General features: G+C 44.8%; 1 protein-coding gene and 1 long non-coding RNA gene across 31 annotated transcripts in view; one reads left to right on the top strand and one right to left on the bottom strand.

The window, feature by feature from the left end:
* SCUBE2 (signal peptide, CUB domain and EGF like domain containing 2) overlaps positions 1-12,761 on the top strand; it is a 72,124-nt gene extending 59,363 nt beyond the window's left edge. For 12 of the 30 annotated variants that reach the window (XM_047427364.1, XM_005253036.5, XM_017018080.2 and 9 more), the window contains 6 exons: positions 1,312-1,479; positions 2,192-2,353; positions 4,676-4,873; positions 6,383-6,535; positions 10,282-10,361; positions 11,040-12,761. In XM_047427364.1, coding sequence (XP_047283320.1) covers positions 1,312-1,479; positions 2,192-2,353; positions 4,676-4,873; positions 6,383-6,535; positions 10,282-10,361; positions 11,040-11,192 — 914 coding nt within the window. In that variant the 3' untranslated portion in view covers positions 11,193-12,761. Of the gene's footprint in view, positions 1-1,311; positions 1,480-2,191; positions 2,354-4,675; positions 4,874-6,382; positions 6,536-7,823; positions 8,054-10,281; positions 10,362-11,039 lie in introns of those variants that run through there. The other 18 variants (XM_047427365.1, XM_017018081.2, XM_047427356.1 and 15 more) reach the window with 3 other exon arrangements.
* Positions 1-27,536, bottom strand: part of NRIP3-DT (NRIP3 divergent transcript) — a 63,704-nt gene that overhangs the window by 35,555 nt on the left and 613 nt on the right. The gene's annotated exons all lie outside the window — the stretch shown is intronic.

Here is a 27,536-nt window from a genome sequence, read left to right as displayed (position 1 = left end):
CTGAGGTGCAGGGACAGCTTAAGCCCAGGAGGTCAAGCTGTAGTAAGCTGTGATTGTGCCACTGCACTCCAGCCTAGGCAACAGAGACCCTGTCTCAAAAAAAAAAAAATGACAGCAATAAGAATATTAGTAATAATGGTTATTATAGCTACCATGTATTGAATATTTACCTATGCCAGGCATTATGCTAAGTATATTATATGAATTATTCACAATTCATATAATCATTACAACTCCACGAGGCTACAGTGACTCTTTTAAGGTCACACAGCCAAGTGGAGGATGTGGAATCAGAACCCAGGTCTGACAGGCTCCAGGCTCCTCCCAATGGTGTGTGTTCTTGAAATGCCATCATATCTATAACTTATGGGGGAAAATGAGACCACTATGATTAATAGAGGAGAGATGATTAAGAATATAAGAGATAGATAGCAGATTTTGATAGCATCTTGCCAATGACTAATTCCTGAGGAACATGTGCTTTTAGAAATCCTTTTGTTTGTTTATGACTGTGTTTCTTGTCCCAGGTATAACATGTGTAAGATCTAACTTAGTAAATATTATTGTTAAAACAGGGGAGACTCTTTGGGTCACTCTTTTTTTTTTTTAGAGACAAGGTCTTTCTGGATCACCCAGGCTGGAGTGCCGTGGTGCAAATATGGCTCACTGCAGCCTGGAATTCCTGGGCTCAAGTGATCCTCCTGCCTCAGTCCCAGAGTAGCTGGGACTACAGACATGTGCCACTATGTCTGGCTAATTTTTAAATTTTTTTGTAGAGATTTCGCCATGTTGCCTAGGCTGGTCTTGAGCTCCTAGGCTCAAGTGATTCTCCTGCCTCAGCCTCCCAGAGTGTTGAGATTACAGGCGTGAGCCATCAAGCCCAGCCCGGATCACTCTTTATATCAATAGGCTGTAATCAGCTGGGTAAAGGGGTACTTCTGGGTCTAATTACCAAATTGGTCCCAGGGCAGAGAACTCTCTCTCCTGCATTGCAGGGGATGCCTAGGCAGTGTGTAGGCCTAAGCCTGAGAACTACCCAGGCCTTCCCATACTTTGGAAGCAGTTGACACTTGACTTCTTGGTTTCCATCTTTGCACTGTGCTGTGTAGCCCTGTGTGTAAACAGCAGGCACTCATGTGCCATTGACTCAGGGTCAGAAGCACCACAGCATTGACTGTGTGCTCTCTGACTGAGGTGGGAACTGCGGTCAGCACTGGGTAACAGGTTGGACTGAAGTTGGTCTCATTTGGAGAGTGGGGAGCAAGGGTCTGCCTGGAGGCCTTGCTCACGTAAGGCTATTGGTCCTTCCAGGTCTGTGTCAACCTGGTGAATATTCTGCAGATGGCTTTGCACCTTGCCAGCTCTGTGCCCTGGGCACGTTCCAGCCTGAAGCTGGTCGAACTTCCTGCTTCCCCTGTGGAGGAGGCCTTGCCACCAAACATCAGGGAGCTACTTCCTTTCAGGACTGTGAAACCAGAGGTGAGTACTTGGCAGCTTGCCTTTTTCTAGGACTGGATTTCCCTTCTAAGTATCATGGGAGTCTCGTGAGGCTCCAGTCAAGCCCAGCCTGATGCAGTGCCCCAGTGGCTGGGGGTTCAGGTCCCAGCTCCACTCGCCCCAGCAGGATGTGCAGGGGGCACTGGAACTCACTGGACAAGCTGTCCTCCAGCCACCTTAGCCCCTTTGGACAGGCTGACAAGGGATGATCAGGCACTGATGAGCCAGTTGGTACACAGGTTCCCCTGGTTCCTTCCTCTAGCCCTCCTCCATCTCAGTGCCCTGACCTAGAGCTTCCCCCCAATACCCCTTCTCCAGAACCCCACTCCAGCTGCCTTTTCCCAGGGAGCCCAACTCTAAACCCAACCTCAGTTCTGCAACTGCCTGCCCCCTATACTCACAGACGTGCTCTGCATGAAGACTGGAGTTGTGATCATTGATGCCTGACTCTGCATGAACCATAAACTCTTTGGAGATACACACATATCTTGTTCCTCTATATTTCTCTATTTCATGAGCCCCATCCACACTGCCTATTTAGGGAATTAAGTGTTGATTAGCCCCAGATTGGTAGGAAAGCCCTACTTCATTTGCACATAAACATTTCTTTCACAAACTTTAAAATCTTTGTGCTGCATTTGATTAAAAATAATCTTTCTTTTTTTCATTCTTTTCACCCTCCCTTGACCCACAGTTCAATGTTCACCTGGACATTTCTACAACACCACCACTCACCGATGTATTCGTTGCCCAGTGGGAACATACCAGCCTGAATTTGGAAAAAATAATTGTGTTTCTTGCCCAGGAAATACTACGACTGACTTTGATGGCTCCACAAACATAACCCAGTGTAAAAGTAGGTCCCTCTCTAAGGCTTTTCATAGTTCTGGCTAAGAAGATAGGTGTCTGGGTCCACCTCAGAGCAGGGGGCACGGGGCAGAGGTCCCAGGTTCACTCAGAACCATGTAGATGTTATGAGCCCAGCTCACAGCCATGCAGACCAGCATGGAGAGAGAGCAGGGCCTGACTGTGCAGAGCGACTCATCTTTATTGATCCTGGCTACTTCCTCAGGCACACTTACAAGCTGTACTTGCCTTAATTTCCTCCCTGGGGCATAATTTTAGTCCAGCCTTGATCAGCATGCATTGCTTGAGGACCTGTTACGTGCCCAGCATTCTGCTGGGACTTGGTTGATATTAGGCAGAATGAGTCGGCATCGCTGAACCTGCAAGGAGCTCAGGCAGTGAGGCTGCAGAGGAAGGAGCGATTGACTCTGTCTCGAGAGATGAGGAAAGGCTTCTGGAGGGTGTGAGAAGGTTTTGATGGAGAGGGTGGGGAAAGAGTAGGAGAAAGAGCCTTATGTTTGAGAGAGCAGCTGGGGGAAGCACAGATCGAGGCAAGCAAAGGCCTTTTGGGAGGAGACCCCTGGACCTCAGGCTAGAATGTGCCGAAGGGAGTCTCAGGCAGACCAGGAGGCAAAGCCTCGGATGGATGCTGAGGAGACCGGTTTGTGTTTTATAGGAAGGGGGAAGCAAATCATTTAAGGACTTGCTGTCTAGGCTTTTTTTTTAAAGCCACTATTTATAACCAAAATTACAACAAAAACTCTGTAGTAAAGGCCAAAAGTAAATCCCAGCTAATCTTTAAGATAGCAGTCAGAGGAGCAAGGAGGCCCCCCCTAAACTGGAGGAGCTTGGGACTGAGGGGGGCAGTACATCATTAGAACTTTATGATTGAAAGATCATCTGGTTTTCTCTCTATTGCAAGGAAGTCCTTTTAACAACATCTTTATAAGTAGCCTTCCATCTAGTCTCTTCTTGAATACCTGCTGTGACAGGAAGCTTGCTACCTCATGATATCCTAGCTTGTTGGTGGATTGGACTTTAGAAAGCTCACAGTGTTAGAACAAGATGAATGTTCCCTTGTATTCCACCACCTGGCCCTTGGTTGGCCCCATGGGAGCCTTATGGCACAGTTCCTAGGGCAGCCCTTCAGGACTGAAGGCAATTCTCCGCCCCATGGCTCCCCCTTCCTCCTCTTTTCTTCCAAGAAGAAAAGCCTATTTATTTTTTTTCTAGTAATAATAAATCCCAGTTGTAACTAGAGAGGGAAAAAGTAATCCCTTCAACATCTTCTCTTGCACAGATTTACCTGACAGTATTAAATAATGAGCTCCTTGAGAGCAAAGACTGTGTCTTTCTCATTTCTGAGCTCTCAGAGCTTTGGGTGACACTTCTGGGATGAATGAAGATGCAGCTGGGTGCTGTGGGTGAAGGAGGGGTCTGTGCAAGCATGTGCACATGTGTGCAGCCTCTGTCTTTGGTGCCAGACGTAGGTATCCAGCATGCCCTGTACCTACTGATAGCTAATTAGAATTTTCTTCCTTCCTTAAAAATAAAATGTGGGTTGGGTGCAGTGGCTCATGCCTGTAGTCCTAGCACTTTGGGAGGACAAGGCCGGGATAGCTTGAGCCTGAGTTCCAGACCAGCCTGGGCAGCATAGACCTTGTCTCCACAAAAAAAAATGAGGAAAAAAAATTAGCCAGGCCTGATGGCACTTGCATATGGTCCCAGCTTCTTGGGAGGCTTGAGCCCAGGAGGTGAAGGGCGCAGTGAGCCATGATCGCACCACTGCACTCCAGCCTGGGCAACAGAGAGAGACCTCATCTCAAAATAATAATAATTTTTTTAAAAGATGAATAAAAAATAAAATGTGGTCTTAACCAGAGAGAAAAGTGAAAAATATATGTCTGTCTTCATCAAAGTTCTCTGAAAAAGGGTCAGATAGTCTCTGCAGAGCAATGAGCTCTGTTCCCCCTATTTTGAGAGACCTAGAAGTTCTGTCTCATGGGTTCTTCTGGCACTTGGACTTGGTAAACAAAATACTGAAAGCTAAATTTATCCTTTTGTTCACAATTACCTGCCCTGACCGTGAACACTTTCGGGCTAATGAGAAAACAGTGCCTCAGGAACTCAGAGGGGTAGACTCCTTGTGGGGAGCTAATGGTTTGGCTCCCACAGGGGGCCCTCTGGGAAGGACAGACTCATTCCCAGATGGTGTCATTTTCATGCCCCATTCCTGGGTGGCAACAGGGGTGCTGCGGGGCTCGGCAAGCTAGCGGTGGTCAGGACAGAGATGACAGTGTCGTGCCATAACTCGGGGCATCTCCTTTTTCAGACAGAAGATGTGGAGGGGAGCTGGGAGATTTCACTGGGTACATTGAATCCCCAAACTACCCAGGCAATTACCCAGCCAACACCGAGTGTACGTGGACCATCAACCCACCCCCCAAGCGCCGCATCCTGATCGTGGTCCCTGAGATCTTCCTGCCCATAGAGGACGACTGTGGGGACTATCTGGTGATGCGGAAAACCTGTGCGTCTCACTCCCTCCCTCCCTTTCTCAGGCCAGCTGGGAAGCCTGATGACCTGCTCCTCAGGCTTTCAATGTGAGGAGGCAGGCCTAGAACGTCACCTCCATATTAGAGCAGAGGTGAACATGAGTTTATAGAGTTGGTGAGAAACAAAATTTAAATGAAAGCCACACACTGAAGCGTCTTGCTGGGCCCCAGAGGTAGTGATCCTGCAGGTCAGTCTTCCCCTCTGTGCTCACTGGGGCGTTTTGGACCCTCTTCCACAAGGACCCAGAGAGCCAGTGAGGATCATGCAGTGTTGGCCCCAGACAAGGCCTCATACTGAGTTGCAACTGATGGCTTGGAGACTGACCGAGCCTGGCCAGGTGGGGACCTGTCCTCCTATCCTGATTCATGGTCCAGTGTCCATAAAGGAAGACTGCTGTCAACACAGCTTATGGGCAGTGTAATGAGGGGCTCTCTGCAGCCAGACTGCCTGGATCTCTGTCCCAGTTCCACCTCTTACTAGTTCTATGATCTCGGGCACACATTCTGAATCTTTCTGCACTTGTCTTCTCATCTGTTAAAATGGGGCTAGTAACAGTTGCTACCTTATAAGGTTATAAGGGCTAAAGGAGTTCATAGATGTGAAACACTTAGAATAGGCCAGGCACAGTGGCTCACACCTGTAATCCCAGGCTGAGGGAGGAGGCTGAACCAGGATTTTGTGACCAGGCTCGGTGAGACCCTGTCTCTATACATTTTTTTTTTTTTAATTAGCTGGGCATGATGGTGCATGCCTGTGGTTCCGGCTACTCGGGAGGCTGAGATGGGTGAATCGCTTAAGCCTGGGAGGTGGAGGATGCAGTGAGCCGTGATCATGCCACTGCACTCCAGCCTGGTAGACAGAGCCAGACCTTGTCTCAAAAAACAAACAAACAAACAAACAAACAAACAAACAAAGAATGATGATGACACATGGAGCCACTATATAAACGTTTGCTCTTCTTATTAGTGGTTAAAATGTCTGAAGTCAAGTATAGGTTTAAATCCTTGTTTTACCACATACTGGCTATATGACCCTGGGCAAGTATTTAATCTCTCTATTAAAAAGGTAACGGTTGCACCAACTTTCTGTGGTTTTCAGAAGATTAAATGAGACAAAGTCCATAAATTGCCTAGCATGCTGCCTGATCTTAGGCAGCAAATGGTGGTGATGACAATTAGATGACAGCAGGTCAGTTCTGGAATGGGAGGCCCTCACCCAGCTCCTACAGTGAACGGTACAGCCTGGGCTGCTGCTGCTTGCCAAGCCCCAGGTCTTTCAGGTGTAGCCTCCCCTGGGGGTCCACAATTACCAGCTGAATCTACTCTGTTTCCAGGACCTTTGACTTATGATGGCTCAGCTGGGCCTGAAGAGCTTTTGAGCATAACTTATTGTATGGTTTGAGTGTTTAGAAAGATGAGCATCTACTCTATGCCTGATCAGTGATGAGTCTTGAACCCCACCCTTCTCCAACTTCCCTTGGCAGCTTCATCCAATTCTGTGACAACATATGAAACCTGCCAGACCTACGAACGCCCCATCGCCTTCACCTCCAGGTCAAAGAAGCTGTGGATTCAGTTCAAGTCCAATGAAGGGAACAGCGCTAGAGGGTTCCAGGTCCCATACGTGACATATGATGGTAAGCACAGCCTGCAGCACATGGAAAGAGCGTCTCTGCTTTGAACAGAGCCAACTTCGGAGCCAGCTGGCAAACTGCTGACAAGCACACATGCTCAGAAAGGCAGGCAAGATGAGGGGAAAAGACATTGCTGACTCACAAGTGCCAAATTTTAACAGGCATTTGGGGACACTGACAATAGGAGGAAAAGATGTTTTATAAAATATATTAAAAGTGAGCATAGCTTGGTGAGTAAGAACATGGGCACTGGAGTCAGACTGATTAGCCTGGCTATGATTTCTCTGTGACTGTGTATGCCACCATCTCTAAGCCTCAAGTTCTTAATGTGCGAATGAGGATAATCATTAGACTTATTTAAGAGTTCAGTGAGAGTTCCTAAAGGACGTGAGGCAGTGCCTGGCACATAGCAATTGTTCAGTAAATATTAACTTCTGATGATTGTGGCTTTTATTAGGTAGAATCCTGAGGCAGGGAAGGACCTTAGTTCTGGTCCTGGCTTTTTCACTGACTCACTGTGGGATCTTGGGCAAGTCAGATGACTTCTGTTTTAATTTTCTTCATGTTAGATGAAGAGGTGGCCCATCTGAGCCCTGGGGCTCTACCTAGCTCTGAGACTTGGTTGGAAAACATTGACTAGGAGCATAAAATGAACTGGATCTTTGTCCTGGAGGACTACACAGTCCTGTAGGAGAGGAGTCATTTGTTTCTTCCTGAGCTTATTTGTTCACCTAGCCAACAAATATTTAATGAGCATCTACTATGTCAGGCATTGGCCTAAGTGCTGGAAACAACATGGTTAGTGACAGAAACACAAAATATATATATTGTTATAGCTGCTATAACAGCCCAAAGCCCTATGTGAGCATGGAAGCAGCAGCAGCAGTTAATTTTACATGAGCTTTTAGAAGGAATAGAGCAAAGTCTTGAGAGATGTGGGTCTTGAAATAACATATACATTTTGAGCATAAATGGGGGAGAAGGACATTCAGAAAGAGGGAAGGACATAAGTCAAAGGATGAAGTACCCCGGTGTACGTGTGGACTGACGAATGGTCTTATTTGGTCAGTGGGTTGGGTGTGTGGGGCTTGGCAGTGAGAGAGGAGACTAGAAGGGAATGGGGTTCAGCTGTGAAGAGCCTTCAGGGCCAAGCTCTGGAGGATAGACTTAATCTTAGAGGAAGCCACTGAAGGATTTTAGGATGACAAGTGCCAAAATTGTTTGGGAAGACAATATTCTATGGCTTTCCTAAAAAGTAACAAAAGCACGGATCATCATCTTTGTCCTACAGATGCCTGAAATAATGTCAAACAAACACCCAAGACAAGGAGTTTTAGTATCTCTTGGGGTGGACCCAAATGCCTCCCACATGGCTCTGCTGAGAGAGACAGAGAGCCTCATCTACCCAAAAGCAACCAACTGGCAACCTCTCCTATCTGGAATCAGGAAGAAAGCAAAAAGACACTGAGACTTCAAAATAAATATGGCTGTTCTCAACTCTGCCTTTGTGACACATGAAAATGTCTTGATTTTTTTTAAAATGAAAAAGAGTTGTAGCTCCAACTGGGGAAAATTACGCATAATGCAGTGTATGCCCACGAGAGTGAGTCTTGCATGTGTCACAGTAGAGAATAGTTGGAAACTGCTATTTTCCCCACAGAGAAGCTCCCAAGGCCTTCACTCAGAGTTTTTTTTTTTTCAAACATATATTTCCAAAAAGTTTGATATCTTCTTTTCAAACCCAGAAGGATAGAAATCACATTTAGAAGGTGCACATGAGGCTGCTACAGACGGGCCCTCTGAGCGCTGGACAACGGTGAGAACTGTAGCTGGGGCTAACACACATTGAGCATTGCTGACTGCCAGGTACATGCTGAAGTGACTTTTACATGGTGCTTTCCTCACAATCACTCCATAAAGTAGACTTGATTATTTCCTGATTTTATAGATGAGGCCATTCAGGCTTAGAGATTTAAGGAACTGACCTAAGGTCCCAGCATGGCAAGGTTGCAAAGCAAGGTTTGAACCAGGACTGTGGGACTCCAGAGCCTGGATTCTTACCTGTAACTTTCCTGCGTTTCTAATGAGTTGGAGCAAGTAAGGAAACACAGTAGTTCTTAAAAGCAGAAGAAATATTTTTTTTAAACGATAGCAGTCGGGAAGCATTTGGTGGAGTGGCAAACAGCTGTCTAGTTTTCTATTACACCAGAACGCAGCACAGCAACCGACATTCTTAATGGTAAGTCCCATCAACAAAAAGAGGAGAGATACTGCCGCAGAGGAATTCAAGATGAAAAGAAAATGTATTCTCATATTTTATATTCACTAAAATAAAAGAAAGACACCACACTAATGGAGTACCAATGCTATTGTAAACATATCGAATTAGTAATTGTGACTATTATACCATTACTTTCCATTTGCCATCCCTTAACTGAGAGAAACTTTTCAAGAGTTCCTCTCACACAATTTCAATGATGTTCTCATAATGTGTTTGGCTTTGTCGCACATGATATGCATACAAAGAGGCATTTTTTCTGTGTCTGGAATTTGGAAAAGATTGTGCTTTGCATATGCTTAATTTGAATGATGCCTATAGGAAGTAAGCTAGACTTCAAAGGGGGAAGATTGGCATTTGGAGAAGTACAGCATGCACTGCATTTAATGTGTATATCAGGACAAAAAATATTAATGAGAGAACACACACAGTTTTCTTCCTCCCCGACCAGCCAAATTCTCCACCCTCCAGCCCCATTCAAATAAAGGAGAGAAGAGTCTTTCTTGGTGGATAAGAAGCTTGATTGTTTTACATAATACAAGAATAGAGAAAAAAGCGGGAGGTGGGGAGGTGAGAGGGAAAGGAGAGCCTGATGAGCTCAACAGGAAGTGAGTATAGACAGAGAAGAGAAGACCAAGGACTAAGCCCTGGGACCCTCCTTTGGTAATAGGTCAGAGAGAAGAAGAAAAGCAAAGAAGCCTCAGAGAAGTAACCGGTAAGGTAGGAGGAAAACCAAAGAGCATGGTGTCCTGGAAGCTCAGTGAAGAACTGGATCAAGGAGGAGGAGTGACCAGCCAGGTCAAAAGCTACTGATGCATCAAGGAGGATGAAGACCAAGAACTGGCCGTTGGGATTTAACAACATGAAGGTCATTGCTGGTCTCACCAAGCAGTTTTGGAGGAGTGATGGGGGCCAAAGCTGATTGGACTGGGTTTAAGAGAGAAAGAAAGGAAAAGAATTAGAGACAGTGGGTGCTGACAATTTTTTTAAGGATTTTTGCTGCAAAAGGGAGCAGGTAAGTGAGATGGAAGCTGGAGGGAGAAATGAGGTCAAGGGAGGGATTTTTAAAGTCAGAGACATACAGCATTTTTGCATGCTGGTGGGAGAGACGAATAGAGAGAAAAATGTATCATGTAGGAAAGAAAGAGCAGAATTACTAGAACAATGCTTTTGATTTGGGGAGAGAAGATGGACCTGGCATGCTAAGTGGAGGGATGAGCCTGGACTGGATGCACAGAGGCTCGTCTGAGGGAAGAGGGGACGGGGAAGATGGGTGCAGATGCTGGTAGGTGAAGAGAGGTGGTGGTGGGAGTCTGTGGAAGTTTTCTTCTGACTGTCTTCTCAGTAAGCAGAATGGTAAGTGATAGCAGCCACAGAAGGGGCATTTCTCAGAACCTTATCAAAAAGTGAAAGAGTGAGTTTGGAAGCAACTAAATCATAAGAATGCAAAACATGTTCTTTATTCCAACAGAGGACTACCAGGAACTCATTGAAGACATAGTTCGAGATGGCAGGCTCTATGCATCTGAGAACCATCAGGAAATACTTAAGGTGAGTGCCTGGCTCAGGTGGACATGGCAGTTATCCACAGAGCTTCCCGAGTACTGTTGGAGAAGGCTTCTCCTCCTGCTCCTTGTTGCCACCTTTCAGACACGGAGCCTGTCCTGGGCCAAGGTCAGTTTTATACCTTCACCAGACTTAATTTTTAAAAAAATCAGGTTGCTGTCTTTAGTGTTGTCAAGTGAAGTTGTATTTTTCAATTTGGAAACTTGTGGAGGGGCAGGGAGAAATTTGCTTATAAATCCAAACCAACAGCAAATAATGTTTTTCTATTAATTCCAAATAGTTGAGGATCCTTGGCTCTTTATGTATACTTCAAGCCTAAAATTCACCAAAGTTTAAATACTTATAAATAATTAGCAATAAACACTTGTGGTATCACTAATCCTACAAATACTCCCAAATCCCAGTGTTGCATTCATCTGGTTGGGAAAAAGAAAACAGGATTTTACATATTAAAGTTTTATTTATAAAAGTAATTCATACTTCTTAAAACTAATTAGGAAAAATAAAAACTGGAAAGAAGATAAAAATCAGAGGAAACAATTTTTGCAAGTGTTTTTCAGCTAAGCAAGCTACGGCCTAATACTGGGTCATTATAGTTCCATGGGCAAAATGTCAGCATATTTAAATATTTTGGCCCAGTAACAAAAATTCTGTTCTTTTTAGGATAAGAAACTTATCAAGGCTCTGTTTGATGTCCTGGCCCATCCCCAGAACTATTTCAAGTACACAGCCCAGGAGTCCCGAGAGATGTTTCCAAGATCGTTCATCCGATTGCTACGTTCCAAAGTGTCCAGGTTTTTGAGACCTTACAAATGACTCAGCCCACGTGCCACTCAATACAAATGTTCTGCTATAGGGTTGGTGGGACAGAGCTGTCTTCCTTCTGCATGTCAGCACAGTCGGGTATTGCTGCCTCCCGTATCAGTGACTCATTAGAGTTCAATTTTTATAGATAATACAGATATTTTGGTAAATTGAACTTGGTTTTTCTTTCCCAGCATCGTGGATGTAGACTGAGAATGGCTTTGAGTGGCATCAGCTTCTCACTGCTGTGGGCGGATGTCTTGGATAGATCACGGGCTGGCTGAGCTGGACTTTGGTCAGCCTAGGTGAGACTCACCTGTCCTTCTGGGGTCTTACTCCTCCTCAAGGAGTCTGTAGTGGAAAGGAGGCCACAGAATAAGCTGCTTATTCTGAAACTTCAGCTTCCTCTAGCCCGGCCCTCTCTAAGGGAGCCCTCTGCACTCGTGTGCAGGCTCTGACCAGGCAGAACAGGCAAGAGGGGAGGGAAGGAGACCCCTGCAGGCTCCCTCCACCCACCTTGAGACCTGGGAGGACTCAGTTTCTCCACAGCCTTCTCCAGCCTGTGTGATACAAGTTTGATCCCAGGAACTTGAGTTCTAAGCAGTGCTCGTGAAAAAAAAAAGCAGAAAGAATTAGAAATAAATAAAAACTAAGCACTTCTGGAGACATAATAATGTACATTTATTGCCAGCCTTCCTCGTTGCAAGCTTCCACCCTGCAGCAAATGCACTATGCTGACTCTCGCACCTTCAGCTGTGCCCTCTGACACTCTGCTGGCCATTGCCTGAGGGACTGGGGAGTTCAGGTGAAATGTAATTTCCTCAGTGGATGAGAATCATCAATTGTCATGAAAAGGCGATTTCACCAACCCTGAGTCGGTATTGCCAAGGGTTCTACTCCCCAAGTGGGCTTCCCATCACAAGGGATCTGAGGTCCAGGTGGGTGTGGTGAGGCCCAGCCTGTCATGTATGCCTTCCTTCCCCAGTCTCAAATGTGAGAGACGGACTCTGCTCCGTGGACATGAGCAGCCCCTTGAAGGGTGGTCTCATTCTCTAACAGTAACAGCACTGCCAGAAACACCCCCTGAATGCCACACGATCATCTCACTTTGGGTCAGGCCAGCAGGGCCTCACGATCATTTCTTGAACTTGAATTTTCAGTGTTATTGAATCTTTAAACATTTAAATCCCCAAGCAAAAATCTCATTACAGTGAATAAAAAGGAATCCAATCAAACAAGCCACCACTTCCCTAATGGATGGACTACCTACAACTATAGTGTTTTGTTATTTCAATAACAATTCTATGCACAGCCAATTCTCCATACCAAAGTACTAAAAAAATGTTTAACAAGCATTTTTGAAGAAAACAAAGAGAACTTCATTATGGTTAAACTTGCTTTTCATCTCAGTGTTGCTTTTTTTAACCTGTTAATAACATTGATTCTTAAAAAGTCCTAATCAAACTTCTTTATTTGGATGGGCCCTAAATATTCATTTTCAGATTTCTCTTCAAAAGTTTGAACATCATCATTAAAAAAAAAATAGCATTAAAACAAGCACTTGGACTTTGTTATACTGGAGCTTGGCCTATATTTCTGAGTCTAACCATAAGATGAAAATTCGAATGTCACATAAACCCGAGTTAGTGACCGCACTGATGTGAAGGTGAGATGAGCTGAGCTGCACCATTCTGTCCAGGCATGTTAGCAACTTTGTGCTCATGACTGTGTGATCCTGTCTTGCTGATTTCACAAGAAGGCTAGGGATGGGAATACTCTGGGGGTTGGAAGGAGGCTGCATAAACCCGGTCACTATGGAGGAGCATCCTCCACGGGGCAGCCCCATGCACCAGAGCTGTGTTGCTGGTACACGCACAAACCACTGACGCACAGGAGGTATAAAGAGGAGCTTCCTCTCTATTCCCTCAACTACCTTAAGAGATGCTGTGATCCTGTTGGGGGCTGGCTATCTGGAGATACTATTTCTACCTGCTACATCAATATTTATCAAACTTCTGCCTGGTACTCTAGGCCCTGGGGATGCGGCGATAAGACAGACAAGGTCCCTGCCCTCATGAAGCTTACATTTTAGAGGGAAGAGACAGACAAAGAACAGATAAATCAACATGAAAAGTAGCAGCTAGTGGTAAGAGCTATGTTGAAAATTAAAATAGGTTACTGTAACAGATGATTGTGTGGCTACTTTAGGATTGGGGATTATAGATGGCCTCTATGCGGAAATTACATTTCAATTGAAAACTAAATGGCAAGAAGAAACCAGTCTTGGGAAAATTAGGGGGAAGAGCTTTCCAGAGAGAGGAAAACCAAGTGCAAAGGCTGTCAGGCAGGAGCAACCATTTGTGTATATTGTAGTCTAGTGAGAAGGCAGGTCGTACAAGATGAGGCTAGAGAACCAGACACGGCCAGATCACATCGGGCTTTGGAATCTATAATGAGGGGTTTGAGTTATTTCTAAATATGTTGCAAACTTTTGAATGGATTTAAGCAGAGGAGTGAGATAATCTGATTTATGTTTTAAAAGGGTAGCTGTGGCTACTGTGTGAATAGGAAGCCAGCACGGAGGCAGAGAGAGTTATTCACAGACTACTGCAACAGAACAAGCAGCCATCCAGTTGGCAGATGAAGGTATTGTCTGGATTAGGGTGTTGTAGTGGAGATGAGAGAAGTAGAAGGATTCTGGATGTGTTTTGGGGGACAGTCAACAGAATTTGCTGATGGGGATTGTATGGAAGTGCTGAGGGAAAGAAGGAAGTCAAAGATGACTCCTAGTTGCCTAAGAAACTGGTAGATGGAGGAGACTAGGAGGAGCAGGTTCGGGATATGCAGCAGTTTTAAAACATGTTTGCAAATTCTTTGAGGTTCCTTCCATGGACAGTTGGGGTCTGTGTCACCTCCCCTTGACTCTGGGCTCTGTGACTGCTTGACCAATATTAACATGGCAGAAGTAATGCTTTACGAGGCCCAGGGCTTAAGACACTAGCAGCTTCCACTTCCTCTCCTTAGGACACTCACACTTGAAACTCAGTCACCACGTCATGAGGAAGCAAGCCATAACAGCCTGTGGAGAGGCCATGTGGAGAGGAACCACAGTCCCTCCACCCACCGGCCAGGCTGAGCTTCCAGGCGACAGCCAGCAAAACTTGCCAGCTGCGTGAGTAAGCCATCTTGGAAAGGGATTCTCCAGCTGCTCCAGCTGACACTTCATGGAGCAGTCCTCATTGAACCACAGAAAAATTAGAGATTTGTGTGCAAAATTAATGATTATTATCTTAAATGATTGATAGGTTTTGAGGTGACTTCTTATGCAGTAATATAACAGTGAAAAGGGGAGATGGTTAAGAGTTCCATTTTGGCCATTCTAGGTTCTAGGTGCCTATCATATGTCCAACTGGAGGGTTCAAATAGGCAAATGGTTATACAAAGCCCCAGGAGAGGTCAGGGCTGGAATATAAGTTTTAATGTCACAGAGTAAAGGCATGAGACTTTACCCCGGTTAAGGTCACCTGGGAAACATGTAAATAAAAGAAGACCGGGGAACTCTTAATTCTGGGATTTCCTGTGTGGGCACAGGAACCAGGACTTTGAGGAGCTGCGTATTAAGTAAACAGGAAGAGGTCAGAGCTGAGCTTCCATCTTCCCTCCAAGAGAGCTAGTTCTATGGGTGAACCCTGAATGGGCATGGATCTGTACAGTCCTTCCTTCTAGCTGTAGATATTGTTCTTTAGCCATTTACTGAAGTGCTGCATCTATGGATTTAACAACATCTCCCTTGAATTTCCAATGCTAATAAAAAAGTGTTTGCCTTTTCACACTAACAGACAATTATCTTCACTTTGGAAAATTGCTTCCTCTGAATCATGCCCTGAGCTGTTAAGTGTGTCGTCTGTAGGCACTCACTGGATTTAGGTTTGCAGGTGATATTAAAATGTCATGTGGCAACCTGGAAAAGGCAGTGGCTGCACAGCACAGTGCAAGGACTTGCTTACCCTCCGGCAGATCTTTGCAGGAAGATGCACCGGAGCTGTTGCCTGCAGCTGACCACCACAGCTGGTGGGCCTATGTGCTGGAAAACCCAGGGGTCATTCCAGGCCCAGCTGTAATCTTCTTAGCCCTGAAGAGATGCCTCTTACTGTCAGCATCTCTGCTTCTTTTCACACAGCAGGATACGTCTTGGAGCCTTACTCAAGTCTGCACTACTTCTAGCCAGCATTTGGGAGGCAAATGGACTAGCTGAGGCTGGAGTAAAGCAGTTCCTCACCAAGTTGAGGGAATCTTGTTGCATACGGCCCTCTAGCTAGGCAAGCCATCAGCTGCCTACAATTTAAGGTCCTGGGAGTGGCCAGTAGGGGCCCATCCACAGAAACTTAGAGGCCTTGGTGAGGCTTCATTTCTGTGACCATCTTCCATTCCAGGGGCTTGTGAGCCCAGCTCAGAGGTGTCCTAATATTTGTAGTGCCCTGCCTCCTTCTCCCTTCAGGCAGTCTCGATCAGCCTGCAGGAGACCACCCTTAGGGACCTGTTAACACAGCAAGGCTGCTCCTGTGATCCATGTCAGTGATATAGCCATGAAGATATCACTACTCAGCAGGGAGCACTTTCCAGAGAACACAGTGGCATCAAAATAGATTTAGAAAATGAAACCACTCTAATATAGGCAGTTTGCCTTAGTTGAATAAAAGCGATACAAATTAAACCTACCTACTGCAAGCAATGACAGTAACTCAGTAGTGCTTGGTTTTCAGAGTATCTCATAAAGGGGATGCAACTACAGACCTTAGTTACTAATAATTTCTTATTATGTTTTTGGTCATTCATTCATTTATGCAACATATATTTATGGAGAGCCTATTAAGTGCTAGACATTGTAGGAGCCAGGGATACTGCAGGGAGCAAAAGAAGCTCCCTGCTCTTGTGGAATTTAGGTTCCAGTCTGGGGAGACAGACAATAAACAAATGAACATATACTGTAAAGTCAAGTAGTGATGAGTGGTATAAATAAGGAAGGGCTAAAGGACAGAGAATGAGGAGGTGGTGGGAGGGAGCTGCTGTCTTAGGATGAGCTCATCATTAGAGTCATGAATCCAGGCCCCTCCTAGAGCACTGGCTCCTCAAACCAAGCCTGGCAGCACTGGCCCTGGCAAGCTCCTTTATCCGCCCAGCAAGACCTTGGCATTTCATGTCAAGCCAAGCTGACCAAAGCTTCAAGCTGTGAACAAGCCATTTGGCAGTTCCTCGAACAGGTGCCACCTAGTGGTTGCAATATGGAGTCGACCTGTGTTTCTGTCTCCCGTCCCACTGCCTCAGACCTTACATGCCCATAATTCAAGACAAGATCTTACCCAAGGGGCCCTGGGGACTAGGGCTGTGATTTGACAACTGATTGGTCGCATGTTGTTTGACACAGCCCTCGGAGTTTATTTTGTTTAGATATTTTCCTTTTTTCTCTGCTTGGCAGAGAAAAACTAGTGACCAAGTCCAAACTCATTGATCTAGGTCATTTCAAACTATCAACAACGCTCTGAATCTCACATACAAACACCGCATATTCATGCATTCACTGTTACGGTCTAGGCACCAGGGTAGGCTGGATATATAGTCCTGAGTCAGAAGGGAAAAGGAGTTGAAGGAATGATGAGGACAAAATCTACTCCTCAATTATAATCTTGCATGTTTTACCACTTTGTAGTTCCAGGAGCTCCCTACCACACTCCCCTGCCTTGGATTGTTCTCTGATCCTACACAGTATCCTAGGACTGAAGGATAATTTTGGGCCACAGGTTGAAGTTTTCTGTCTTTTCCCTACAAAACGCAAAAAGTAGAAATACAAGCCTACCTCAAATTTGAGCTTCGGTGCTGGCTTTGCCTTATTACATGTGTGGCAGTTGAAAAAAATTAACAGCTGCTAAGCAGGAATTGGAACCAATGCCCCAGAGAAGACAGAGCCCAGTAATGTCTGAAGCAGCATGCACAGCAGAACAGCATGGAGGTACAGAGTGTGAGCTTGTGGTGAACCCTGGCCAAGCCTGCTAAGTGCGGCCCTCTGCAGCCTTGTGGGTAACCTATCCTGTGTGACCACAAATTGGTCATCAGCACACACTGTCAATGCAGCGGTGTGTGTGTGATGCCTGATCATGCTATAAAACTGTGGACAGTGTAGCACATTGGAACCCCAATGTTACTTCCAGGTGACTTGGCTTGAAGAAGTCAGCTTTTAGCAGCCACATCAGGTACCTAAACTGGAGTTTTAAGTAATGCAGGTGCCAAGTATAAGAGGTTTGATAGGGCCAGGCACGGTGGCTCATGCCTGTAGTCCCAGCACTTTGGGATGTCAAGGCGGGTGGATCATTTGAGGTCAGGAGTTCAAGACCAGGCTGGCCAACATGGTGAAACCCTGTATCTACTAGAAATACAAAAATTAGCCGGGCGGTAGTGGCGCATGCCTGTAATCCCAGCTACTCGAGAGGCTGAGGCAGGAGAATTGCTTGAGCCTGGGAAGCAGAGGTTGCGGTGAGCCGAGATCGTGCCACTGCACTCCAGCCTTGGCAACAGAGTGAGATGCTGTCTCAAAAACAAAAAACAAAACAATTTAAAAAAAGAGGCTTGATAAACCATCACTAAGGCTCCCCATGAGGAACTGGGATGACTCAAACAGCATCACTCACCCAGTACCCCCCGGGCCCAGTATTCCTAATGTACTTCTCTGAAAATGCATTATCTACATTTATCACACTGATAGGTGCCTTCTCTAAGATTTATGATTCATAATGCTCATATTCTCCAAGACTCCCATTATGTCCTTTACGGTACCTGGATTTGTATCCCAGTTCTGCCACTTATTAGCTATGTGACCTTGTGGAAGTTATTTAACTTCTCTGTGCCTCAGTTTCTTCATGTGGTAAATAAAGATAATGATAGTACCTACAAGATAGAGCTGTTTTGAGAATTAAATGAGTTAATACCTGGAAAACTCTTGAAACATTGCCTGGCATGTAGTAAGGGCCCAATAAACGTTAACTGTCATCCTCATCGTTACATTTCACTTCTTGAGACTTTAGAAGTTAAACCCAAGAAACATTCTTTAAAGGGGTTCACTCTCTGCTGGGTTTCCCCATTTCACTGAGATGGAAAGTTCTTTAGTCACAGTTTTTCTAGTGGGGTATGTCCTAGCAACAGAAAAATTAAAGCTTGAAGTAGGAATGAAAGGCTATGATGCCTGATTTGGGTTCTCACACAAGGCCTTCCAAACACCCGTGTCCTCCTGAGCTGGGAAGGTAAAATGAGCTCTTCCAATCGCCTGAGCTTCTCTTAGGTCAGGGACGGCACAGACACAAGTGCACATACACAGCGCAGCCTCTCAATCCTTCATTTTTTCTGAGTTCCAATCCTCAGCCCCTGGTATGTGAGGATCACAGTACATCTCCTTGCTGAGCCCAGAAGCACATGTTTTCCAGAACTGCCTATTTCTATTCGATGTTTCCAGCATGGCAACATCCAACTTCAGAGTCCAAGAAGGCAGTACTCAGGTCTCTAGGCAGGCAAGGTCAATGAAGACACTCACTGTGGCAAGGTGTGAATAATTTGCATGAAACCTGTGGTCATTGAAACAAAGCCCCTTTTTGAGACATGAGGACACAGGCCTGGCCAAGGTGGGTCTGACCACTGTGCAGCATGTGCCAGGGAGAGTACAGAACTCAAAGTGCAATGTGCTAACGGAGTGTAGACAGACTGAAAAGAGTGAATTTCATTTTTTTAAACATCATGAATGAGATAGGAAAAAAGCCAGTAATTATACAGCAGAGAAATCAGGCAATACCTTGACCAGATGATCAAAATTAGCATGTCCAATAAAGGACAGATGGATATCATGTGCCTACAGATGTGATAGCCTGAGAAGAACGTACCATCACCTATACTGTACTCAAGCCAAAAATGCATCACCTCAATCTCAATACAAGGAAAATGCAGACAAACACAAAATGAAGAATGCTCTATTTTAAAAAGGGGAGGGAAGTTGAAAAACAACTTGCACATCAGTGAAATTTTAAAGCTTGTGTGCTTCAAAAGACACTATTAAGAAGTGAAAAGGTAGCCCATGGAATGGTAGAAAATGTTTGTAAATCATATATCTGACAAGAGACTAATAGCTACAATATGTAAAGAGTTCTTACAAGTCAATAATAATGAGACAAATCACTCAATTAAAAATGGACAGAGGAGGCTGGGCATGTTGGCTCACACCTGTAATCCCAGCACTTTGGGAGGCCGAGGCAGGTGGATCATGAGATCAGGAGACTGAGACCATCCTGGCTAATACAGTGAAACCCTGTCTCTACTAAAAATACAAAAAATTAGCCAGGCGTGGTGGTGGGCACCTGTGGTCCCAGCTACTCGGGAGGTTGAGGCAGGAGAATGCCGTGAACCCAGGGGGCGGAGCTTGCAGTGAGCCGAGGTCACGCCACTGCACTCCAGCCTAGGCGACAGAGCGAGACTCTGTCTCAAAAAAAAAAAAAAAAAAAAAGAAGATGGACAGAGGATTTTAATAGACATGTTTCCAAAGAAGACAAACAAATGACCAATAAGCACCTGAAAAGATGCTTAACATCATTAGTCATCAGGGAAACACAAATCAGAACCATAATGAGATACCATCTCAACCTCACTAGCATGGCTATAATAAAAAAGACAGATGGTAAAAAGTGTTGAAGAGGATGTGAAGAAATTGGAACCCTCATACACTGCTGGTGGAGATGCAGAATGGTGCAGCTGCTTTGGAGAGTAGTCTGTTAATTCCTCAAAAGTCACACGGGCTACCATGTGACCCAGCAATTCTACTCCAGGAGATGAATAAAAGGCACAAAAAGATTTCCACATGAGATTTCTTAGCAACATTAGTCGTAATACCTTAAAAGTGGAAACAGCTTACATATCTATCAACTAATGTACAGCTAGACAAAATGTGGTAGATCCATACAATGGAATATTATTTGGCCATAGTTAAATACTGATAGATGCTACAGTATGGATGAATTTTGAAAACACTGTGCTACGTGAAAGAAGCCAGTCACAAAAGACCATGCATTATATGATTCCAGTTACATGAAATGTCCAGAATAGGCAAATTCATAGAGACAGGAAGTGGATTACAAGTTAGTTGTCTAGGGCTGGAGAAATTGGTAGGCAATGGGGAATGATTAATGGGTACCAAGTTTCTCTTGGGACGATGAAATGTTCTAGAAGTCATTGTGGTGATGGTTGCACAGCTCTCTGAATTTATTTAAAACTTGAATTGTACACATTAAGTACAATTGTATGAATTGGGTGAATTTTATGGTATGTGAATTATATCACACACAGAAACCAGTAACTAAAAAGGGTTAACTGGTTTTTGTGTTAACCAGTTAACCCTTTTTAATGACACTGACAGTTTTGAATTTTAACATTTTGAATGTCAAAAATGTCTGTGTCATGGAGGACAAAGAAAGCTGTGGAAATGTTCCAGATTAAAGGAGGCTAAAGAGACATGACAACCAAATACAATACCTGCTCCTAGCCTGGATCCTGTACTGGAGGAATGTGTTATAAATGGTCAACTGACAAAATTGGAACATGAATAGTAGCTTAGATAAAAGTATTGTATCAATGTAAATTTATCAAGCTTCTATCTGTATTGTGGTTACATAAGAGAAAAATCTCTATTTTTAGGAAATATACAATGAAGTATTAGTGGTACAGGATCATAATGTATGAGTAATCTATCCTAAAATCGTTCAGAAAAAAGTGTGTGTGTGTGCATGTGTGTGTGTGTGTGTTTTGCAGGGAAGCAAATGAAATTGAACATTTTTATGAGTCAAAGGAAGCCATCAAGAAAGTGAAAAGGCAACTCATAAAATGGGAGAAAAATTTTGCAAGTCATGTGTGACAAGAGACTTGTAGCTAGAATATATAAAGAACTCTCCATTTGTTTGTGTCCTCTCTTATTTCCTTGAGCAGTGGCTTGTAGTTCTCCTTGAAGAGGTCCTTGAAGAGGAAGAATCAATATTGTGAAAATGGCCATACTGCCCAAAGTAATTTATAGATTCAATGCTCTCCCCATCAAGCGACTATTGACTTTCTTCACAGAATTGGAAAAACTACTTTAAATTTCATACAGAACCAAAAAAGAGCCCACATAGCCAAGACAATCCTAAGCAAAAAGAACGAAGCTGGAGGCATCACACTACCTGACTTCAAACTATACTACAAGGCTGCAGTAACAAAAACAGCATGGTACTGATACCAAAACAGATATATAGACCAATGGAACAGAACAGAGGCCTCAGAAATAACACCACACATCCACAACCATCTGATCTTTGACAAACCTGACAAAAACAAGCAATGGGGAAAGGATTCCCTATTTAATAAACGGTGTTGGGAAAACTGGCTAGCCATAAGTGGAAGTCTGAAACTGGATCCCTTCCTTACACCTTATACAAAAATTAACTCAAGATGGATTAAAGACTTAAACATAAGACCTAAAACCATAAAAACCCTAGAAGAAAACCTAGGCAATACCATTCAAGACACAGGCATGGGCAAAGACTTCATGATTAAAACACCAAAAGCAATGGCAACACAAGCCCAAATTGACAATTGACATCTAATTAAACTAAAGAGCTTCTGCACAGCAAAAGAAACTATCATTACAGTGAACAGGCAACCTATAGAATGGGAGAAAATTTTTGCAATCTATCCATCTGACAAAAGGTTAATATTCAGAATCTACAAAGAACTTAAACAAATTTACAAGAAAAAAACAACCCCATCAAAAAGTGCGCGAAGAATATGAACAGACACTTCTCAAAAGAAGACATTTACGCAGCCAATAAACATATGAAAAAAGCTCATCATCACTGGTCATTGGAGAAATGCAAATCAAAACCACAATGAGCTACCATTTCATGCCAGTTAGAATGGCAATCATTAAAAAGTCAGGAAACAACAGATGCTGGAGAGGATGTGGAGAAATAGGAATGCTTTTACACTGTTGGTGGGAGTGTAAATTAGTTCAACCATTATGGAAGACAGTGTAGCAATTCCTCAAGGAACAAGAACTAGAAATACCATTTGACCCAGCAATCCCATTACTGGGTGTATACCCAAAGGATTATAAATCATTCTGCTATAAAGACACATACACACGTATGTTTATTGTGGCACTGTTCACAATAGCAAAGACTTGGAACCAACCCAAATGCCCACAATGATAGACTGGATAAAGAAAATGGGGCACATATACACTATGGAATACTATGCAGCCATAAAAAAGGATGAGTTCATGTCCTTTTCAGGGACATGGATGAAGCTGGAAACCATCATTCTCAGCAAACTAACACAAGAACAGAAAACCAAACACTGCATGTTGTCACTCATAAGTGGGAGTTGAACAATGAGAACACATAGACACTGGAGTGGGGGCATCACACACTGGGGCCTGTTGCAGGGTAGGGGGCTGAGGGAGGGATAGCATTGGGAGAAATACCTAATGTAGATGATGGGTTGATGGGTGCAGCAAACCACTATGGCAAGTGTATACCTATGTAACAAACCTGCATGTTCTGTACATGTACCCCAGAACTTAAAGTATTAAAAAAAAAGAACTCTCACAATTCAATAATAAGAAGACAAAGAACTCAGTTAAAAATCGGCAAAGGATCTGAATAGACATGTTTCCAAAGAAGATAAACAAATGGCCAATAAGCACCTGAAAAACACATGGAGTAAAATGTTAGTAACAGGTAATCTGTGAAAAGGATATACAGGTGTTTTTTCTACTATTCTTATGTTTGCAACTTTTTGTAAGTTTCAAATTTTTTTTACAAATTAAAAGTTTTTAAATAATCCTGAATGACTTTTCTCTTTGGGCAGTGTAGATCTGTGCGAAAACTGGTCAGACGGAACACTATGAGTGTGAGCGCATGCACATGTTTGCACACCTGGGAGTCTACACATGTTCCACAGAGCACTTCACCTCTCTGCTGTCACTGGCCCCCAGCCCCTGTGGCTTGCCCAGCATGCACACCATCACATCTGAGCAACATGCTTAGTTAACTGGGGGGAAGGAGGTAGAGCCCTCAGTGCTCCTGAGGTAGACAGAAGTTACCCATCAGTGTGAGCCACGCTGCAGGCATTGTCCCCTTTGGCTGGGGCTGACATAAAGAGATAAGGAGCAGGTGGGTTAGGCCTATGCTTTGCTGTATTCTGAGAGACTTGCCATCTTCAGAGTTCTTGTTTCTATACTGCAGAGTTTCCCACTAGGCTCAGAAGGGCCACTCTTTTTCTGGGTTCTCTACCTATGTTGGAGAGGGGAAGGAAAGAGGAACAGGACATATTTATTGAGAGCCCACTTTGTGCCTTTATATATTATTTCACTCAAATGAGACAGAACCCTGCAAGATGGATAAACTGAGGCTCAGAGAGCTTCAGTAACTTGGCCAAGGTCCCATAGCAAGCAAGGGGTGGAACCAGATTCAAAGCTAAGCCTAGACTCCTCACTTCCCCACTTCCACCAGACACACGTCCTTCAGATACTGGTGTTTGTTTTCTTTCCATTATTTCTCCTCTTTTGCTGTCTGAGTTGAGGTCAAAGCCTGTTCTCATCCCGGGAAATGAAACCAAATCACTGGTGACTGTAATGGATCCAAAAGACCCAGGCAACTTTGGAAAACACCAGCAGGGCTGCCATCAGCCCTGTTTCTTGAGGTCATGGTGATGTTGGCAATCACTCTGAAGGAAGAGGACAGAAATATCTCTTATCTTTGCTTTAACTGCCAAAGCAGACACAGTTTTTAGAGCTGGGTGCCAAGTCAGGGGTACCATGTAGCCAGAGATCCTGGCACACATCTGGATAGCTGTTCGAAGAATCTTCCTGCCAAAGGGGGTTGGGGTAGTGGTGAGGACATCTGAGGAGGAAAGGGATCCTACAGCTATAAGGATGGGGTGGTGCATGATGAGGGTCCTAGGAGTGGCCATTCTGACTTCAGGGTATGGCCAAGGGCAATATGCATGGGTAGGGAGGGAATGGGGAGGAAAATTTCTTGGCAGTCTCCCCTTTATCCTCTGCTCTTCTCCTCTACTTTTTAGGCCTCCAAGCCTCAGCACTCATCCTGTTTCTCATTCTTAAAGGCCTCTCTGTTAGCTGAAGACCCAAAAGAGGGTTGCTAGGAGAATAGGTTGTAAGCCTAGAGTCACAAATAGCCATCAGACAGGAAGGGTCTGCCTACAGGGGCATCAGCTCAGAGGAAAGCAGAGCTGAAACACAGTGATAATGTCATTTGAGTCTTTGGATCCAGCCATGCCTGAAGCCCTGCACTTTTAAATTAAGGGGACCAAAAATTTGCATTTTCACATAAGAAATTTTCAACTGGGTATCTGTCACTTATAAGAAGAATAACGTGAATAGCATTCTAACACTGAAACAGTACTGGATTTTCTAGTATGATTTTCAAGTACAGGTCTTCTATAACAGCCAAGGGAGGATGCAGAGAACTTTAGGATAGAGCCATTGCACATGGAAAGTCCAGAATCTGGAGACACTGAGGAGAGGAAGAGAGCTGGCCAGCCCCTGCCTCAGCAGGCCTCTGCTCTAGGGATAGGGTAAGATACTCAAGTCTGGCTTCATGTCTGAAGCTCTGTAGGGAAGCCTGGAGAAAGGATAGGCCAGCCCCAATTCGAGGGTTCTGCAACCTACAGTTTTTCCTGAAGTTGTTCCAGGTAATGATGGTTGCTACCTTCTGCTGAGCCTATGCTACATGACCAATGTATTACACTGTCTATCGTTTTATTTCTCACAGCAGCCCTGAGAAGTAGAGATATTGGCACAATTTTCTAGATGAAGAACTGAAAGCTCACAATGGTGCAGTAACTAACTAGTCACATAGCTAGTAAGCAGCAGAGCAGGGATTCAAATCTAGTGTATTAGACTCCAAAACCTGTGTTTTTAACAACCATATTGTATGTTACTTCCTCCAAGATGGGTCAATGAGGCAGGGGACGTTGATTGGCTATATGGAGAATTAATAATAATCTTTTCTGTTGGTACAGCCCTAGAGAGTTTACAAAGCACAATTGTATATGCAGTCTCACTACATCCATTTTACAGATATGGAAACTGAGGCTCAGAGGTAGGAAGTGATTTACTCAAAGTCATTTGGGCAAACAGGATAAACCACCCAGAGATAACTCTCCTTAAATTAAGCAGGCAGTCTGTAGTCTGCGAATACTCATAATGTGTGGGGGGAGGAAGGAGCTGGCCTCACCACACTGAACCTTGAGGGCAGTGATGGTATCAGTCTGTCCAAGGAAGGTCTCAGACAGGTGAGGGGACCAACAGGTATTGCAGCCACAGACCCAACTGCAGAACACAAATCCCACTACACCAAAGGGCTCTGAATTCACAAAAAGATTCCCAGTTCCAGTCGGGCACCATTTATTTTTCAGCAACACTTGATATGGGCAAATTCCAGTTCAACTAGAGAGATTCAGCTTCCTGGTGTTCCCAGGGGGATCTAGCTCTGAAAAGAGCCCCTTTCTTCTGTCAGGACATCCTCAGCAAAAAAGGCTGCAGGTCTGAGCTGAGCAGCCTGGAGAGTGGGGATTCCAACTCCCCCCGAGAGTGTCTACCTGCCTGGCTTCCTCCCTGAGGAAAGTCACTGTCCCAGCCCAAGCCCTAGGGGCCCTCACTGTTGGACCTGCCCTGATGCTTTGCCAAACTCAGAGGCACCTCTCCTAGACGGACAAGGCAAAGCTGACTTTCACTGTTCCCTGGGTGATCTGCACCTGGAGGAGTGATCAGGCAGGGATCCAGGTGATGGGACAGAAGGGGCCAGGGCAGCCACTGTTGTTCACTGCTGGAAGTGTGCCAGGGGACTGGAAGGTGAACAGCAATCCCACCTGTCTCCTAGAGACTCTGTCCTCCGTGTGTAGGGGAAAGTAGGGGATGGGCACACAGGGAGGAATCCAGCCCTGGGGCTTCCTTGAAGCCAAGTGAGCAGCCTTCTGTATTTGTTTTCCCACAAACAGTCTTTGAAACTGGGGCAAGTGTTGAAGGCAGAACAGAGTAAAAGAAGCAGCTTCATGAGGCCAAACCCAGTCTCTCCAGGTCTAGGTAGTCCAGCACAGGTTCTGGGAGTAAATGCCAGCTTTACCACTTGATTTCTTTGGTACGACCTTAACTTTTTGCCATCCTTTCACTAGTATTTGAGAACCCTCTGCATATTAGGGCATCAATGCTAAGCAAAAAATGGGTTCAGTCACCTTCCTGGAGGTTCCAATCAGTGGAGGAGACAAATATTAATCCAACAACCAGTACCCCCCTACCCCTACCCCCACAGAAAGTGTCAAATGCCCAAGAGATAGATAGTATATAATTAGAGAGACTTCACTCTCTCTGGAAGGTCAGAGAAGGCTTTCCTAAAGAAATGATAATGGAGCTGAGGTCTGGAAGAAGCATAGGAGTTTCCTGAAGAGGGTAGGAGGGGGCACTGCACACAGAGGGAACAGGACAGTCAAAGGCAGGCCATTTGGCAACAGGTGACTGGAAGGAACTGGAAGAAGGCCCATGAGGCTGAAGTACAGAGTGAATATGCAGGGTCTAGGCAGACCATGCAAGAATGTGGGTTTCTCCTAAGAGCAATAGGAAGCCTTTTGAGGTGCTCTTAGCAGGGAAGTGAGATGATCACACTTATCGTTTGAGAAGATTACTCTGGCAGCACAGTGAACAACGTATTGGAATGGAACCAAGGAGCATTCAGGAGGCCAGACAGAAGGTATCAGGTATTTGCCTGTAAAATGGGGGTGATGAGAATACTATCTTACAAGCTGTTGCCAGGATCCAATGAGATACTGCATTTTAAGTGTCTAGTCTAGTACCTGGCACATAGTAAAGGCTCAGTAAGCGTCGATATTGTTACTTTTATCATTGGTTCTTTGCAGAGTGCACATATTTCTTATCCAGGTCTGCTCCTGCGTGATGGGGTGGAGGGAGTAGTTGTGGTTTCCAGAGTGAAAACGTGATTTGTGTCAAATCACAATGTCGAGACCAGAATCCAGGATGCCTGAAGGCCCGATTAGAATGGCTTAAAAGTATGGATTATTCAGGAAGAAAAACGGGTTCCAATCGCTCCTACTAAGGACGCTGGAGGGATGGTGAACGATCCTTTAGATGGTAAGCCCTAGCACTTATTGAGAAAAACAGGTGCTTCTTTGGTCGGAGAGCAGGTGTAGGGCTCGCAGCCGCGTGCGCTCCCGCGGAGGCGGGGGACCCTCGCCACTCCCCCGCCCCACGCCCACCCGCGG

This window comes from Homo sapiens, chromosome 11, assembly GCF_000001405.40.
Source record: "Homo sapiens chromosome 11, GRCh38.p14 Primary Assembly".
Classification (NCBI taxonomy): domain Eukaryota; kingdom Metazoa; phylum Chordata; class Mammalia; order Primates; family Hominidae; genus Homo; species Homo sapiens.
This window is presented reverse-complemented; position numbering and strand designations above follow the sequence as displayed.